General features: G+C 38.7%; 2 long non-coding RNA genes across 7 annotated transcripts in view, besides 2 other annotated features; one reads left to right on the plus strand and one right to left on the minus strand.

The window, feature by feature from the left end:
* Window positions 1-15381, minus strand: part of LINC00305 (long intergenic non-protein coding RNA 305) — a 69094-nt gene that overhangs the window by 26807 nt on the left and 26906 nt on the right. For 2 of the 6 annotated variants that reach the window (NR_190189.1, NR_190193.1), the window contains 2 exons: window positions 4863-5009; window positions 4054-4306 (listed from right to left, as the gene is read on the minus strand). The exons of 2 other annotated variants lie outside the window; for them this stretch is intronic. This is a non-coding gene — a long non-coding RNA (long intergenic non-protein coding RNA 305). The remainder of the gene's footprint in view (window positions 1-4053; window positions 4307-4862; window positions 5010-15381) is intronic. 2 more of the 6 variants (NR_190191.1, NR_190190.1) reach the window with 2 other exon arrangements.
* The window catches only part of LINC01924 (long intergenic non-protein coding RNA 1924), a 319511-nt gene that overhangs the window by 2711 nt on the left and 301419 nt on the right, over window positions 1-15381 (plus strand). The window lies entirely within an intron of this gene.
* Window positions 3889-4390: an enhancer, noted in NCBI's record as "NANOG hESC enhancer chr18:61777924-61778425 (GRCh37/hg19 assembly coordinates)". NCBI's record gives its function as "activates a minimal SCP1, AML or CMV promoter by ChIP-STARR-seq in naive H9 embryonic stem cells {active_cell/tissue: H9 hESC(naive)}" and the evidence as "EXISTENCE:reporter gene assay evidence [ECO:0000049][PMID:30033119]".
* Window positions 9903-10493: an enhancer, noted in NCBI's record as "OCT4-NANOG hESC enhancer chr18:61783938-61784528 (GRCh37/hg19 assembly coordinates)". NCBI's record gives its function as "activates a minimal SCP1, AML or CMV promoter by ChIP-STARR-seq in primed H9 embryonic stem cells {active_cell/tissue: H9 hESC(primed)}" and the evidence as "EXISTENCE:reporter gene assay evidence [ECO:0000049][PMID:30033119]".

The following is a 15381-nucleotide window of genomic DNA, read 5'->3' on the forward strand; positions in this document are numbered from 1 at the left end:
ATGAAACACAACTTTGTTTCATTCTTTGTGTTCCTGATTGTGGCTCAGGTGGCAAACTTGCCAGCTGCATTGTTTATGTACTCACAGAAGAAATGAAGGCTCCTGGTTACCTTGGAGGATGATACATGAAGAAAAAATCTTGAAAGCTAGTGAGCAAATTGCTGTTTACAGATATGACATTTTGGCTAAGAAATAGGGTATAATTGATGTGCACCAATTCCGGGCCTGGCCCATAAAATATTTTTCAAAATCCTCTCCTCAATCTCATTTTCTCATCTCTGCATGGCAGAAAGAGAAGACATTCAAAATGGTGGAGCCCCATGGAGAAAAGAGCTCAGATCCTTGAATCATCACTGAAAATAATAGTCTTTGGTGGAGGTGAAGACAGATTCATTGCAAATGGACCTGGATTAGAAGTGACTAACCTCGACTGTTCTGGGCTCATATTCTGGGTCAGAGAAACAGACAAGTAATAGAATGCTTGGTAGAGGCCATGTGCTACGAAACACTGGGGACATCTGCAGGAGACAGAATGTGAAGGAGTAAGGGGGAGGACTGTGACCTATGATATGTGTTTCCCATAAAGGTGATAAATACTGGTGAATCAGCATAGTGTCGAGGAAAGAGAAAAATTGAAGGGAACTCTCTGAAATCCTTCAAGCTTCAGATGCTGGAGTGATGATGGCTGCGTACAGAAGGCATTGGGATAGATGCGCACGGAGGAAGCATTGGCTTTTGCCTACTGCATTTCTGACTGATGAAAATGAATGGACAAAAGTCCTCTGCACATGTGTTCCAGGAGACATGGTGGTGGAGGGTTTAGAGAATAGAAACCAGGCTTGCCCAAGTACAGAAATATACTCATTCTTCGTGACATCGGAGATACAAAAGAACTTTGGATTCTCATGTTTGTGTTAATTTGGCCAGAAGAAGAGGCATGTGGTCAATGTATCTTATAGGGTAGAGTCAGAGGACTGAAATCCACCTTCCAGAGGGAGGATTAAAGGTCGGTGAGGCCCTACCACCTGAGACCTGTCCATAATATCCAAGGCCATGGGAATGACAATAGGCTGGTTCTACATCTCCACGAGCAGGGTTCTCCAGAACAGGCTCAGGCCATTGAAGGTGGCTTTACCAATTATTCTGCTGTAACTATGGAGAGAATGAGCACAAGCAGGGGAGCTGAGACAAGGCAGGCAAACAACCTCTAAAAATCTACAATTGGTGATTGGTGTGCTACTGATTAAGGTAAAGGCACAGAATTATACATCCAGGTTTCTATTACTTATGGCAGAGCCTCAGACCCAGGTTGAGAGACCACTGGCCTTAAGAAAAAAAATGGGGTTGCTGATTTCTGGATAATAATCCAACTCTACAAATTGAAGAAGCAACATACCCTCTTTGTTAAAGTCGAAGGAAGGGTAAGATTTTCCTGGAAAATTGCCAGCATGCTAAGAACTTGCTTAAATCTATAAAGGAAGCTAAGGATGGCTTGGGGTGCTTGGAAAATGAGAGAGAAGGGGAATCATAAAAGAAAGAAGTGCAACACATGAGTATTATGGGTTAGCATGATAAGTTGACTGTGGTCCATTCGCCCTCCTCAGGTGGGTGCACAGAGAGAAGGAAAGATGAAAACTCAGGTCAGAGAAGTAGGTAACTATGCTAGTTCAATCTAACCATAACTGCTACTGCTGTTTTGGAGCCAAGGACAGTCTATTCCCATTCCTTGGTCACAGAAGGCCTCTTAGAGTTGTCTCCCAGGACTAATAAATTAGAACCAGATGAACAAATGTGAGGTGATAAGAAAATAAAGGGTGAAACAAACAAGAATTGAGAAACAACCCTTATCTGTGCTTACATATACAGCCCCTAGGGTGGAGGTCAAGAAAGTCACATCCACAATCTGATAGTGTTAGGTGTGTAGTAGACACTGTCACTGAGGAACCAGCCCCAAACAAGTGTACAGTTGGCTCCAATACATACTTTGATTATATATTTTTTCACTTATCTGTCTGTGTAAAAATATATAGGGTAGAGCCTTGGCAAAGACTGCGAAGTATTTATACAATGGAGGATGGAACCTGGAGAAAAAGAAAGAAACATAATACATCTAGGGCTATTTTCCCCATTCAGGGGATTAAAAACTAACTTTTATTTCTTTTCCCATTTATGTGGAGGAGGAGAAAGCTCTGCCTAAAGCTCATCTAGAATATGTTGCATCACATCAATCTCCCTTACCCCCACATTTGAAAAATCACTGCTGTAGATGTGTGAAATGGATTTGTGGAACAGTAATATTTCATTTAGGATTTGAGAAAAATGTATTTGATCCTATGGGAGGTACTCTATTGAGTAATTTAAGAGACTAACATTAGTGAGTAGGCTAACAGGGTCTTGAAACAGGGACACCAATACAAAGTTGTTTAATTGGGGTCAGTGCACAGGAAACAGAACTCAAGAGGGTTCCCATTAGTGAAAGAGTATGATAGCTTGTCATGTTAGGAACTGCCTGTAATGCAAGATGGTGTGAAAGGTTGGAGAAATTAAGTGGAAAAGACCATGATTCTTACTGATCAGGACAGCTTTGGTCAGAAGGCACCTGTCTCATTAGTAGTAGAAATAGGAATTACAATTGGAACTAACAACAAATTTGTGTTTCATGTGATAAAGCATGTGAATACTTGAGTAATTAAATGAAACACTTCTAATTTACTTATTTACATATTGAGCCATTTATTCATTGTCATCATCGGCCTCATCGTCATCATCATGATCATGCCTTCTATGTATTCAGCGTCTACCAGTTTTGAAAGTATACTGGGTATGCTGGGAAGATTTTTATCTATTACTTCATTAATCTTAACAACAACTCTGGTAGACATAACTAATGCTCAGAAATATCTTGGTTTTTTTTTCCTGTCACATGGAAGACTGCAATTCCTAGACTCCCTGTGGTTGGATGTAGCCATTTACTTTGTTCCGGCCGTTGGACATGGAAGAGGATTGATGTGCACCACCTTCAGGCTAAAGCACTCAATTAATTGCCAGTGCAAGACTCTCCACTCCGAGCTTGTCCAACCTGTGGCCTGTGGGCCGCACGTGGCCCAGGATAGCTTTGAATGCAGCCCAACACAAAATTGTAAACTTTCTTAAATCATTGTGAGTTTTTTTCTGCAATTTTTTTTTAAGCTCATCAGCTATCATTAGTGTGTTTTATGTGTGGCCCAAGACAATTCTTCTTCTTCCAATATGGCCCATGGAAGCCAAAAGATTGGAACCCCTGTTCTACTCCACCTTCTCCTGGACATCTAAAAGGAGGCTTTGTATTGAGATAGTAGAGTCAAAATTATTCGGTAGCTTGGATCCCTGAGAGGCCTTCTGGTCCCACAGAAGACTTTGTATGAATAAGAAATAAAATTTTATTGTGTAAAGCCACTGAGTGAAGGATTGTTTGTTATCGTAGCATAACCTTACCTCTCCTCACTCTGCAAAGAATATCTGCTTATTAGTTGCATTTTTCTGAGAAAACTGAGGCTTGGAACAGTAACATACCTTAAGCTGGTATTGCACATTCAGTTCAGCTGGAGTATAAGCCTATCTGTTTCTGTCTCTACAACCGGATGATAGTAAAACAGTTTGAACAATGTAACTAGCTTACTGGGTTCTACTAGACTGACAGTACTATAGAGGAATAGTAGCATAGAAAGGTAAATTGGAAAGACTTTGGGGGTATAAATGGGACATTTTTTGAAGAAGAAATGCTTGAGATTTTTTTATGGTGACCTACAAAGATACTGGCACAGAGGACTTGGGGATCTTCTTTTTGGAAGTGACTTAGCCTTGTCTGGATATTTACCTGTTATCTGTGTCCATATTTTAGATAATTTTTTTTTGCACGAGTTATTTAGAAGTTTAAAAAGATCTCTGCTGCTAAGTAAGAAATGCAGAATAAAATAAACAACAAAAGAGCCTTTGCTTTGGCCTGACAGAAACACTGGCTGGTTCATTCATGCTACACTTGGAAAACATTAGGAAAAACTAAGCCGTTATTACCTGTGGCAAAACACTTTGCTGTGGATGGACGCACTGCTAATGACCTCGCAGCAGGAAGTATGGCTCTGAAAGCACTTCTCCGTTTCCAATGCAGGGTGACTGGAGTGTTTTTCTACATCCTGATTAGTGCTTCAGAATCTCTGTGTGGTGCTTTCTGAGAACAGAGTGGGTCTGTATTTTGTTAAATGTTGCAAGGATGGATGATTGACAATCATGGATCAAATAAGCACTCAGTAATCCATCAGAGGAAAGACTGTGAGAAAAAATAGATGACAAACTACCTTCAAATATATAGTTTGCATACTTTAACACTTATTTCATCAGGATGGTTGCCTTATTGTGACATACCATGTTTTTCCATTTCCTCCCTTCAGAATGACTAACAGAACTTGCAGCTCTTTCTCCTTCAAGACCAGCTGTCAGTGTGAGATAGGGATTAAGGCAGGGCATTTTCATGATGAGACTGTAAATCTCTTGGCGGAGAGGATTTGACCTTCCTCACCTCTGTATGCCCAGATTCCAGCCTAATACGTGACACACAGTAGGTTCTCAGCCAACAATGGGGGAGAGCATGAGGACAGCAGAAGCTTCTGAATGCAGCTCAAATGGAAAATAAGCTCCCTGATACCCTGTCATTTTTAGTGTTTCAAATGTGAATTCTTGTTTATAGAATAGTAAGGAAAATACATAATCATAATATTTTAAAACAGAATATGAAAAGACTAAGTCAGCTGGCAGATTCCAAAGTAGAACACAAGTGTCTTAACCTCTAGCCCTGTTACCGTGTATGCTGCCTGGAGGAGGCAAACCTTAGGGTGGGAGTAGAACCAGGTGGTGGATGGCTGGGTCCCTGCTCTCTCTGGATGGCTTTCTGGTCTCTCAACCTGCCTGAGTCAAGTCGTCCAAGCTCCTTCAGGAAAGTGTTAGGGAAGCAATGTGTTTCCACGCCAGGTTTCCTAAGGATTATGAGAAGCTGGCTTTAATACTTTTTAATAGTAAAATTTAATTAAACTAAATGTACCTCCGGGAACAGTAATGTATGCAAACTTATCACAAAATCAAGGACCATGGTGAGAAAAAGTGAGAGCTTAATGTGGATGAATTCCAAAATATTTGGCTTAAGCAACAAAACCAATTTATTCTATATTTCCCCTTAATATGTCGTGTGGATCTTTTAACAGTTGGTTGTTTAATAATAGTAATCTTCAAGCTTATTTCTCGGATCAGCATGCGTGTGACAGTCCTTCATTCTCAGTAAACACTGTGTGATACAATCAGCCTGCCGCAGATGCTCCTTATTCTATTACTGCGGCATAATCATTTGGGGAAATCTGTGAAACTAATGCAAAATCTCACAAAGCTATTCAGAAATATGGATTGAAAATGGAAGACTGGAAAAATAGCTTGTCATAGCCCATTAGCGACTACACGCTGCGATTTAAGAAACTATTTTTCAAACGTTTCCATTTTGCACATTGCTCAAAAAAAAAAAAAAAAAAAATCCTACCTTGTTTGTTCCTGAAGAACAATGGGAACATCTATCATAGGATGTTAAGGCAGATTTACCAGGAAAATATTCATATTTCCGTTGGAAGAAAATATGTGGACTTGATTTAAGATTAGCATATGCATTTTCCTCAAAGATAAACACTATTTATGGTGTTTATTTTTATTGAGAACAGAGGACAATAATGTAATACAATTTAGTGGTATGATTTTGTTGATCTTGATAAGCAAGATTCTATACTTACGGATTGGCCAGCATTTTATCAGACTGGCTATTAATTCTTTCATTTCCCCTCTTTCTTCATTGTTTTATAAATATTTATTACAAATCTTGCCTATCTTCAACCTGCTCTAACCTGGGTGTCTTTCTCTAATCATTGATCTCTCTTTCCAGAAAGAATCTTTTCTATTTTACTTCATAATCAATGACTTTTGGTTTTTCATTTGGGCACATTATTCCCCCTACTGAGATGCCAGCAACTTTTCTAGGTTTTTCTCAATTCCTTGTTAAGAAAACAGTAGTTCTCCCCATCCCCCATACTCCAGGGAGGAAAAGAAGTAATAGTTACTGTGAACCTATTCCTATATCCTGAGCCTTCTACTGAGAGCTATCATGACAATTTCTTATATTTTATAGGTTGGAAACTGACAGTAAGAGGTGTTAAACAACTTTTCTAAGGTTATACATTGAGTATATTGCAGAGTTTGCATTCAAAGAAAGCCATGTTATTCTGACACTCAAACTCCTGGTCTTTCCGTTCTTGCACGGTATTCTAGAATTAACTACTCCCTACACTAGGCAGAGGCATCACAAGCGTGGGCTACAGTCAGAGGGACGAGGGAACTACATTTCACTCTGCCACTTACTGCCTTAGCAATTTACTTAGTTTTCTAGTGAAAATGATACTTAGCTTTCCAATTTAAAATAAAAACCTAGCAGATAATGTAGCACAATGCTTACGTCTGAGTAAAAAGCAGAAAAAGAGATTATTATCATTATTACCCCAAGAAGAGTAGTTGCATATTTATCCTGGAAAAGAGCTATAAATTATTTAATTATTTTCCTTGATTTGACTATTTCTTTCAAGTTCAAAATTTCTGCCCTCCAAGTTCCTGCCCCCTGCACCTTTCCCCAGGTGGCTTGCACATAATGGAAGGGAAGCACTTATAAGACTTACAAGACCCACAGGCTTAGACCTCTAAGTTAGTTACACTGCCCATGAGAGTGAGGAGACACGCTTTCTGCTGTCTTCCCAGTTTCAGGGAAAGGCGTAAGTGCTGTATTTGGGCTATATTACCCGAAAGACCTTGTTTCACCTGCAGGGAAAGGATGGCCAGTAATACTCAACCTCAGCAGTAGACCCAAATGTGTAGGGCAGATGTATAGAGAAGAGATCAATAACCTTGATCTTTGCTGCTGGGTGACCACCCAGTCATGGATACGGAGAGGCTGCTCTTTTCCATAATGTTTCTTTGGAGGCTGACTCTGTAGACTTTCTAAAGCACACTGAAACTTGTAATTCTCTCAAATATCCATTTCTACTGGTATATTCACAAATAATTATTTATAAAATCTTAAGCAGAGTTTTATGAAATTTATGGGAAGCACATAAAAATGAAAGAAAATGGCTGGGCGCGTTGGCTCATGCCTGTAATCCCAGCACTTTGGGAGACCGAGGCGGGCGGATCACAAGATCAGGAGAGCGAGACGATCCTGGCTAACTCGGTGAAACCCCGTCTCTACTGAAAATACAAAAAAATTAGCCGGGCGTGGTGGCGGGCGCCTGCAGTCCCAGCTACTCTGGAGGCTGAGGCAGGAGAATGGCGTGAACCAGAGAGGCGGAGCTTGCAGTGAGCCGAGATTGCGCCACTGCACTCCAGCCTGGGCGACAGAAAATTTAACGTTCAGGGTTCTAAAGTGCAAACTTTCCAAAGAGGTTCTCCCTGCCTGTATATTTAGGAATGTCTTCTGAATTCTACTTTGGGGGAGGAGACGGGTGCCTCAATTCCTTTTGCCAAGCCCTTAACCAGAGGATTGCTGAATGGGACTAAATGGACATTCCGGGTGTGCTATGAGTCAGGAGGATTCTGGTTTGATTGATGACATTTACACTCTACGTCTATACTGGAACTTTCTGATATCTCCTTTGGTACTTATTCATAAAAATATTCATTTATTTTATGGGTTTTGTTTGTTGGTTTGTTTGAGATGGAGTCTCCCTCTATCACCCAGGCTAGAGTGCAAGGCCGCGATCTTGGCTCACTTCAACCTCTGCCTCCTGGGTTCAAGTGATTCTCCTGCCTTAGCCTCCAGAGTAGCTGAGATTACAGGTGCATGCCACCACACCCAGCTAATTTTTGTATTTTTAGTAGAGATGGAGTTTTGCCATGTTGGCCAGGCTGGTCTCGAACTCCTGACCTCAGATGATCCACCTGCCTCGGCCTCCCGAAGTGCTGGGATTACAGGCATGAGCCATTGCTCCTGGCCTATTTTATGTTTTTTTGAAAATGAGCTTGTGCGTAAAGATAGTGAGTGTTGTGATGATCATAAACGAAAATATACATAAAGAGGTAAAAAGCCTGAAAACTTTCTGAGAGCTTCTACACACCCTTCTCCCTTCTCCTCCCACCCTCCTCCATGCAGGGCTGGGGTGATGCACCCATTTGTCGTCAGCCCTCTGGGATGCTTTACTGCCACCATTGGTTTTGAAAGAACACACCAGGGAAAGGGAAAGCCGTGTGCTGAAATTTAGGGGAGGCTCTGAAGACTACACTCATCTCCGCCTTATCTTCAACCCAAATTGTCTGCCTTGTTCACATTTCATTAGCACTAATTTCTAGAGGGCCTGTCTAGTGAGTTAGATATTGTGTTCCCAAATGTCCACTGTACATACGCAGGCATCTTAGAAGGATGACACAGTAATCTACCATGAGCCTTCCATTAGGGCATGAACACAGAGTTTATGGCATCAGGCAACCCATTGAGAACACAGGTGAGGTGCATGAGGCAAGGAAGCCTCACTGAGGAACAAAATTAGGTTTTCCAGCCTGAGGACTTTGCAAAGAAGGAGGAAAATGAGGTAGGAATGATTTGCAGGTGCATTTGTGTGTGGGGAGGCTGCTTATGGGGGTAAGGTAGGAGGGGGAACGTGAGGGTGTCAGATGGGACAGTGGAATGAGAACCCAAAGACACATTTTATGTACTAAGATATTATAGAACATTTTGAAGTGTGAGGGAGCCCAGGTTCTCTCTTTAAAACTTCTTTATGATGAGTCTGTTCAAGGAGGCCTCAATGTTCCTCTCAGCTTTTCTAAACTTTAGACGGTTCTTCAAGCCTCTAGGATCCTTGCCTTCCTTTTTTTAAATAAGTATTTACTTTTAAAAAATTGCAATTTTAAATTCTTCCTTTACATCTTTGAGTTGAAAATCTCATTAAAAGCTTCTTGCCAGTTTTGCAACTCAGAACTGTCTTTCTCAAGGATCTGGGAGTCATCTCTTTGAAAAGAAATAATCAAAAAAGATAGCATCCGTATCTCCCAGTTTCTACGGGAGGATAGGAGCCTAACATTTTCCAAGTTGTAAAACTGCCTCCTGTCCTCAAGATAGGAGAAAATGTACTTTTCCATTGGGTAAGGCCAATAAGCCAACAGATGCCCTAAAATCCCTCCTCCATCCCTAGTCTTAGCTCTTAAAAGCTCTCCAGCCATTTTTTACCAGTGGAGTTAAGACTGAGTTCTGGTGCCCTTTCCATTATTGCGACATCCTTAAAGTCTTCCTTGCCTATGTGATTATGTGTGCTGCAATTTTTTTAAGCCCCAAAGGAATTTGCTTTTTGATAAGAATTCAGTAACAAAAAGTGGGTCTCAGGATGAATCAGTTTACAACATACAGAATTAACATTAAAATGAGATAAGTAACTTTTATAGAAATATTGACCAGAGAATGTCCTTTCAAATGTTTTTCCTCCTAGCATGACAAAAAGTTTTAATTTGTAAAAATTATGTTATGTTTGCTCCTAATGTTTTAAGAACATATTAATTGCATAAACTATACTCCTATATAAACATCTTAAGAATATTTATTTCATAAGATTGACATTAACCGTTGAGTTCCTCTGTTTCTGCAAACGTGATGTTAGTTCACATGCAGTTTTATTTGATGTTACACAACATATATATCAATTGTCACTTTCTTTTCATGTTTCTTTTCTTTTCCTTTTTTTCCGGCTTTATTTTGGTGTAATTGACAAACATTGTATATATTTATAGTGTACTATGTGATGATGCTTTGACACATGCAGACATTGTGAGAGGATTGCCATGATCAAGCTAATTAACATTGCCTTCACTTCACAGAGTTGTCATTTTTTTGCAAAATTTTACAAAATTATTGCAATCTTTGCTTTGACAGTCCAGTGAAAATGCTGGCCCTTGTTTCTTACACACTTTCTTGGACAACAAAAAGTGCTAAACTTACCAGCTGCCTTAGGTTTACCACGGGCCTTCCATGGAAATGAGTCCTGGGGTGGAAATGGTCCCCTTCTGAGGGAGCTTGCTAAAACCACAAACCTCACTCCTTCATTAAAACAAAGCCAAACAAAATTCACACAACGGCATTTTTAACCTGTGTTTGCATAACAATGAGTTTCATTCTTCACTCTGCCTAATTTATTCCCCATAGTGATTCGCCTCAGGCCCCTAGTCCTTGCTCACTCTAATAAATCCGGTGGCTGAAGACAAAGCTTAGTGTTTTTTTGGAATTAGTAACAAAATGCTAACTGTGGTTCTTCTGTAGAGGCCCTGTTTTACAGGGAAATGAGACAACTAGACAAAGCCCTGAACACTTTCCTTATGGAACTTTGTGACTTAGTTAAATTATCATCCCCAAAGCCTTCCAGGTTAGCAATAATTAGACAGCAACTAAGTGACCCCACCATGATAGCTTCTTTGCATAATAATCTAATGCCTGAAACACTCATAGGAGTAATGTATTGTTATCTCTGCTTTGCAGATAAGATAGGGTAGAGAGGTTACCCATCATACTCCAGATTTCACAAGTAAAAAAGTTGGTAGATCTCTATTTCAAAATTCATTTCAGGTGGCTTCAAAATCCGTGAATTTTATATGTCTTGTGCTATTTTCTTACCTGTAAAATTGACAGAATGATAATTGATGTGTAAGTTACATTTCAAGCTTGGAATTCTCAGAGATGTAGTCCTGAAAGAGAGTGTCTTGGACCCAGAGAAGTGTGCAGAATCCAGACTTTTCAATGAAGGCAGTAGAAACAGTTCTCTTTTTTGAGACACTTAAAACCTTTTACCCCACTGGTTCACTCAAGTGCATGTAACGGTACAGATCACTTGGTCCAACTAGAGAACAACTCTCCGCCTCTCCAGTGAGCAGATCCAGGCTTTGCCTCCATGTTTCCACACATTTGTTTTCTAAACCCAGAAAAGTGATATTTACCGTCAATCTGTTCTTGAGATGCTTCTGGGGTATGGCAAAGGAAACGATCCACGATGTCAGGTGTATTCCTACCTCTGCCTGCTTTTCTTTTCTTTGACCTTCCGTAAACAAGCAACTTCGTTTCCCTAAGCCTTCATTTAACTTCTTAAAGAGTGGTGACAATAACACCCATCTTATGGAGATTTTCTAATAATAAGATAGAGTAGAATCTCAGAGATCCTTGAGTTCTCCAGGCTGAATGCATTATATAAAAGTAATTACTTAGTGTGAACAGCTAGGAGGCATTTCATTCTAGTCAGGGGGTGTCTCTGGTATTTGTTTTGGACAAATAAAGCAAGCTTAAAGGAAGCTTGGCTATCACTTTGTTTAATGCTCTTATTTTAAAGATGAAGAACATGCACAATTATGTGATATTATGAAACTGAGTTCAGTTAGGCTAAAAGTCTTTCTCAAAATCCTCAATAATAAATGTTCTGTAATGTAGATATACATACAGTCTACGAAGGCAACCAGTATTTAACTTGCTTGAGGTAGTACCTACTCTTTTGTTTTATAATAACGTTGTGTCTATTTTCCCAAAGAAGTGCTATGAAGAGATTAATTTTAATTATTTTTAATGTCTCTAACTTAAAAATATATACATTATATGGATATAAAATCATTATAACTTTTTTGTATGAGTGCTGATAAAATCAACCAAGACTTTAATAGGACATAACTCCAAACACTTGGATTACCCCTGACACTGTGTTTGCGGTGGGATAAAGCTTTACGTGGTGACACATTCTGCGTGGAATGCTGGCTCCATCTGCTTTCAACATTCCACTTATACTCAAATGTACATAAATTATATACATATATAAATTTAAAATTATGCTCATAAGTTTTAATTGCCCATTTTATACTTATTATCTATGCATCATTGGCTATCTTGCACCACTCTAGGTCTTATTTTCCTAAGTATAAAATAAGCCTACTTGATCAAGACCCTGGGGGTCTGTGTGTGTGTGTGTGTGTGTGTGTGTGTGTGTGTGTGTGTGTACATATGTCATCCTTTGTCCATAGGATTACACTTCATACAAAGTAGGGTCTTGATAAATATGTGTTGTTTGATGATTGATTTGTTTTTCTTTAAATATACTTAACTCACTGACTTGTACAGCAATATTTAATGAATACTACTTTTGTCCAAGTATACAAAAACAGAATCACATACAAGTATACAAAAAAAAAGAATCATATATCCTGATTTTCAAGACTACACAGTTTAGCTGAAGAGCTACGAATCACTTACAAATAGGTAAATGAAAAAAGACAATACATGTGACTCCAGTAGAATTCAGGGAAAGATGTAGACTCCTGCGGGTACAGAATTCTTAGGGGAGATGGGATTTTCAGTGAGCACTGATTGGAACTTAGAGGAAGAACAGAAGGAAGGAGGTCATTCCAAGCTGATGGACTGACTGAGTAAAGGCTGAAGCTGGCTGATTCTGGTGGAGAATCATTTAGAAGTGATTAAATAGAAATTCTGAGAGCTTTGTGAAGTTTAGGTTGGAGACTAGATTGATTTTTAACTTAGCATATTTGTTAAATAATGTATTGATTCACTGCAATTAAAGTTATATCTAATTAATTGCGTATTGAGTTTCACTAGGCTTAATGTTATAGGACTAGAACAATGAGATGAAATAGACACTGGTGTTTTTACTAAAGAAGGTCTCATAACTGCTAGAACTTCAGTTATTATAGACTTTCTGCCATAGTGACATAAAATTTGTCAACAATGCTTTTTCACATTTTATTTTGATTGAAAATTACTATTATATGATTCCTTATAGTGAAGGAATGGGAGGAGAAGTACCTCTCCCATGTGTTTTCCCAAAGACCTCTATGGTCTCCTCTTGCAGTGGTGAGATGGGTTTTCTTGAAATTCTTTGGCAGTTGGCAAGAAACCGAAAATCCGGATTGTTCTACCTCAAAGACCGATCTGCTCAGATCTTCTTTTCTCTGTGGCATCTTTCTCTTATGAGAGTCTTGGGACACAATTTGGCTTTTGCTTTTGGGTATTCTCATGCAGTCTGTTAGATAGATATTAAAGTTGACAGTGATGCTTCTTGTCCATGTGTATGAAGTAACTAAAAGTTTGGAGAGAACGAACAGCCAATGCCACAAAAAAAACAAAATAAGCTTTGGGTCTAAAGTATTTTGATTTCCTTCTCTCACCATCAATTTTTGAGAAGCACTTGTAACTAATTATTTTTCTTTAAAAATAGATTTATGGCCACCAGAGGGGGCATCTTTCAACAAAGAGACCAGAGTAAATAATAAAAGCTTACCTGTTAAATTTCCCAGCCTGATGTGGAGCATAATTAGCAGAGAAACCAAGCCAATTGCTGTGGGATGTTTTGCAGAACAGATGCTCTTCTTCCATCCTCTCTCTAAGATGGCTCTTCTTTTTTTGTTAGTTTAAAGAGATTCTAAATCTCAATAATAGTTAAGTTTAGAGAAACACTCTGAGTGACACAGCACATATTTTAATTAACTGCTAAAGCTGGTTCAGATTAATGATCTCCTTATCCCTGTGTGGTATGCACACAGTGGTGGATTAAACCTGCCCTTAAACTAGGGTATTTTTTTTTTTAGTTTTATAGCGTTTAGAGAGAAATTCCTGCTTAACATATTAGTCGTCGAAATTGTTGAGTATAATATTTGTTTTGGCGCTAACTTTCTCTTTGCATTTGTGAGATGTCTGGAGGAAATTTCAGATGCTCAAGGAGAGCCAGTTTATTGGTCTGTTTTGTTATGTTCAATGTAGGAAAGTTGTAGCCTTTTCAATCCTCCATTAGCCAGATTCTAGAGAGCAAGGCATGAATGATAGCAATTTAGTTATCACGTTCTATTTCCAGCAGAATTGTTTGTAGTTTAGCTCAAAATATCCATCTTCTTAATTTTAACTGGTTTTGCCAGTTGCCAGTTAAACCAGATTGCAAGTGAAAATGAATATCATCAACACACTTAAATATTTCTGTGCACGGTACAAAGCAGACTGTAGATGATTATAGACTACTGGAAAATGTGTTTCCACAGAAACTTTCTTCTAAATTGCTAGGAGTGTGTTAGACTTTAAGATTACTCATAGGCATGTGCTCAAAAATTTGGTAAACTTTAAAATTTTTTTATTTTACTTTAAAAGTATATTATAAAGAAAGCAATATTCTCTAAGGCAATGAATCATCTATTCCCCTCCAGTATAAAAATGGTACATGGAACATTTACATTATACACAAAAATTACTTTGAATAGCTGTGTGTGATCATTTTAAACAAAGCAAATCACTAAACATTAGGCATGACATTGCTGATCACCTCTTCTTTTTTAAATTTGTATAAATTTATGGGACATATGTGTAATTTTGTTACATGCATAGCTTGGGTGGTGGTGAAGTCAGGGCTTTTAGAGTATCCATCACCCAAATAACGTACGCTGTACCCCAAAACCTCCGTCATCCACCCCCCTCTGTCCCCTTACCTTTTTGAGTCTTCATTGTCCATCATTTGACACTCTACACCTTTGTGTACTCACTATTTAGCTCCCACTTATAAGTAAGAATATATGGTATTTGTCTTTCTGTGTCTGACTTGCTTCACTTAAAATAATGGCCTCTAATTCCATCCATTGTGCTGCAAAAAACATGATTTCATTCTTTTTATGGCTGAATAGTATTCCATTGGGTATATATGCCACATTTTCTTTATCCAGTCATTTGTTGATAAACACTAAGGTTGATTCTGTATCTTTGCTATTGTGACTAGTGCTGCAATAAACATACGGGCACAGGTATTTTTTGATACAATGATTTCTTTTCCTGTGCATAGACACCCAATAACGGGATTGCTGGATAGAATAGTAGTTCTGTTTTTAGTTTTTGAGAAATCACCATGCTGTTTTCCATAGAGGTTGTACTAATTTACGTTCCCAGGAACAGTGTATAAGAGTTCCCTTTTCTCCACAAACTCACCAATATTTGTTATACATTATCTTTTCAATAATAGCCATTCTGACTAGTGTTAAGACGATATTGTAGTTTTACTTTGAACTTCTTTAATAATTAGTGATGTTGAGCATTTTTCATGTCTGTTGGCCATTTTTATGTCTTCTTTTGAGAAATGTCTATTAATGTCTTTTGCCCACTTTTTAATGGGATTACTTCTTTGATTTTTTGTTGAGTTGTTTGAACTTCTTGTAGTTTCTAGGTATGAATCCTCTGTCAGATGAATAGTTCGCAAATATTTTCTCCCATTCTGTAGATTGTCTGTTCACTCTACTGATTATTTCTTTTGTTGTGCAGAAGCTTTT

Source organism: Homo sapiens, chromosome 18 (genome assembly GCF_000001405.40).
Source record: "Homo sapiens chromosome 18, GRCh38.p14 Primary Assembly".
Taxonomy (NCBI): domain Eukaryota; kingdom Metazoa; phylum Chordata; class Mammalia; order Primates; family Hominidae; genus Homo; species Homo sapiens.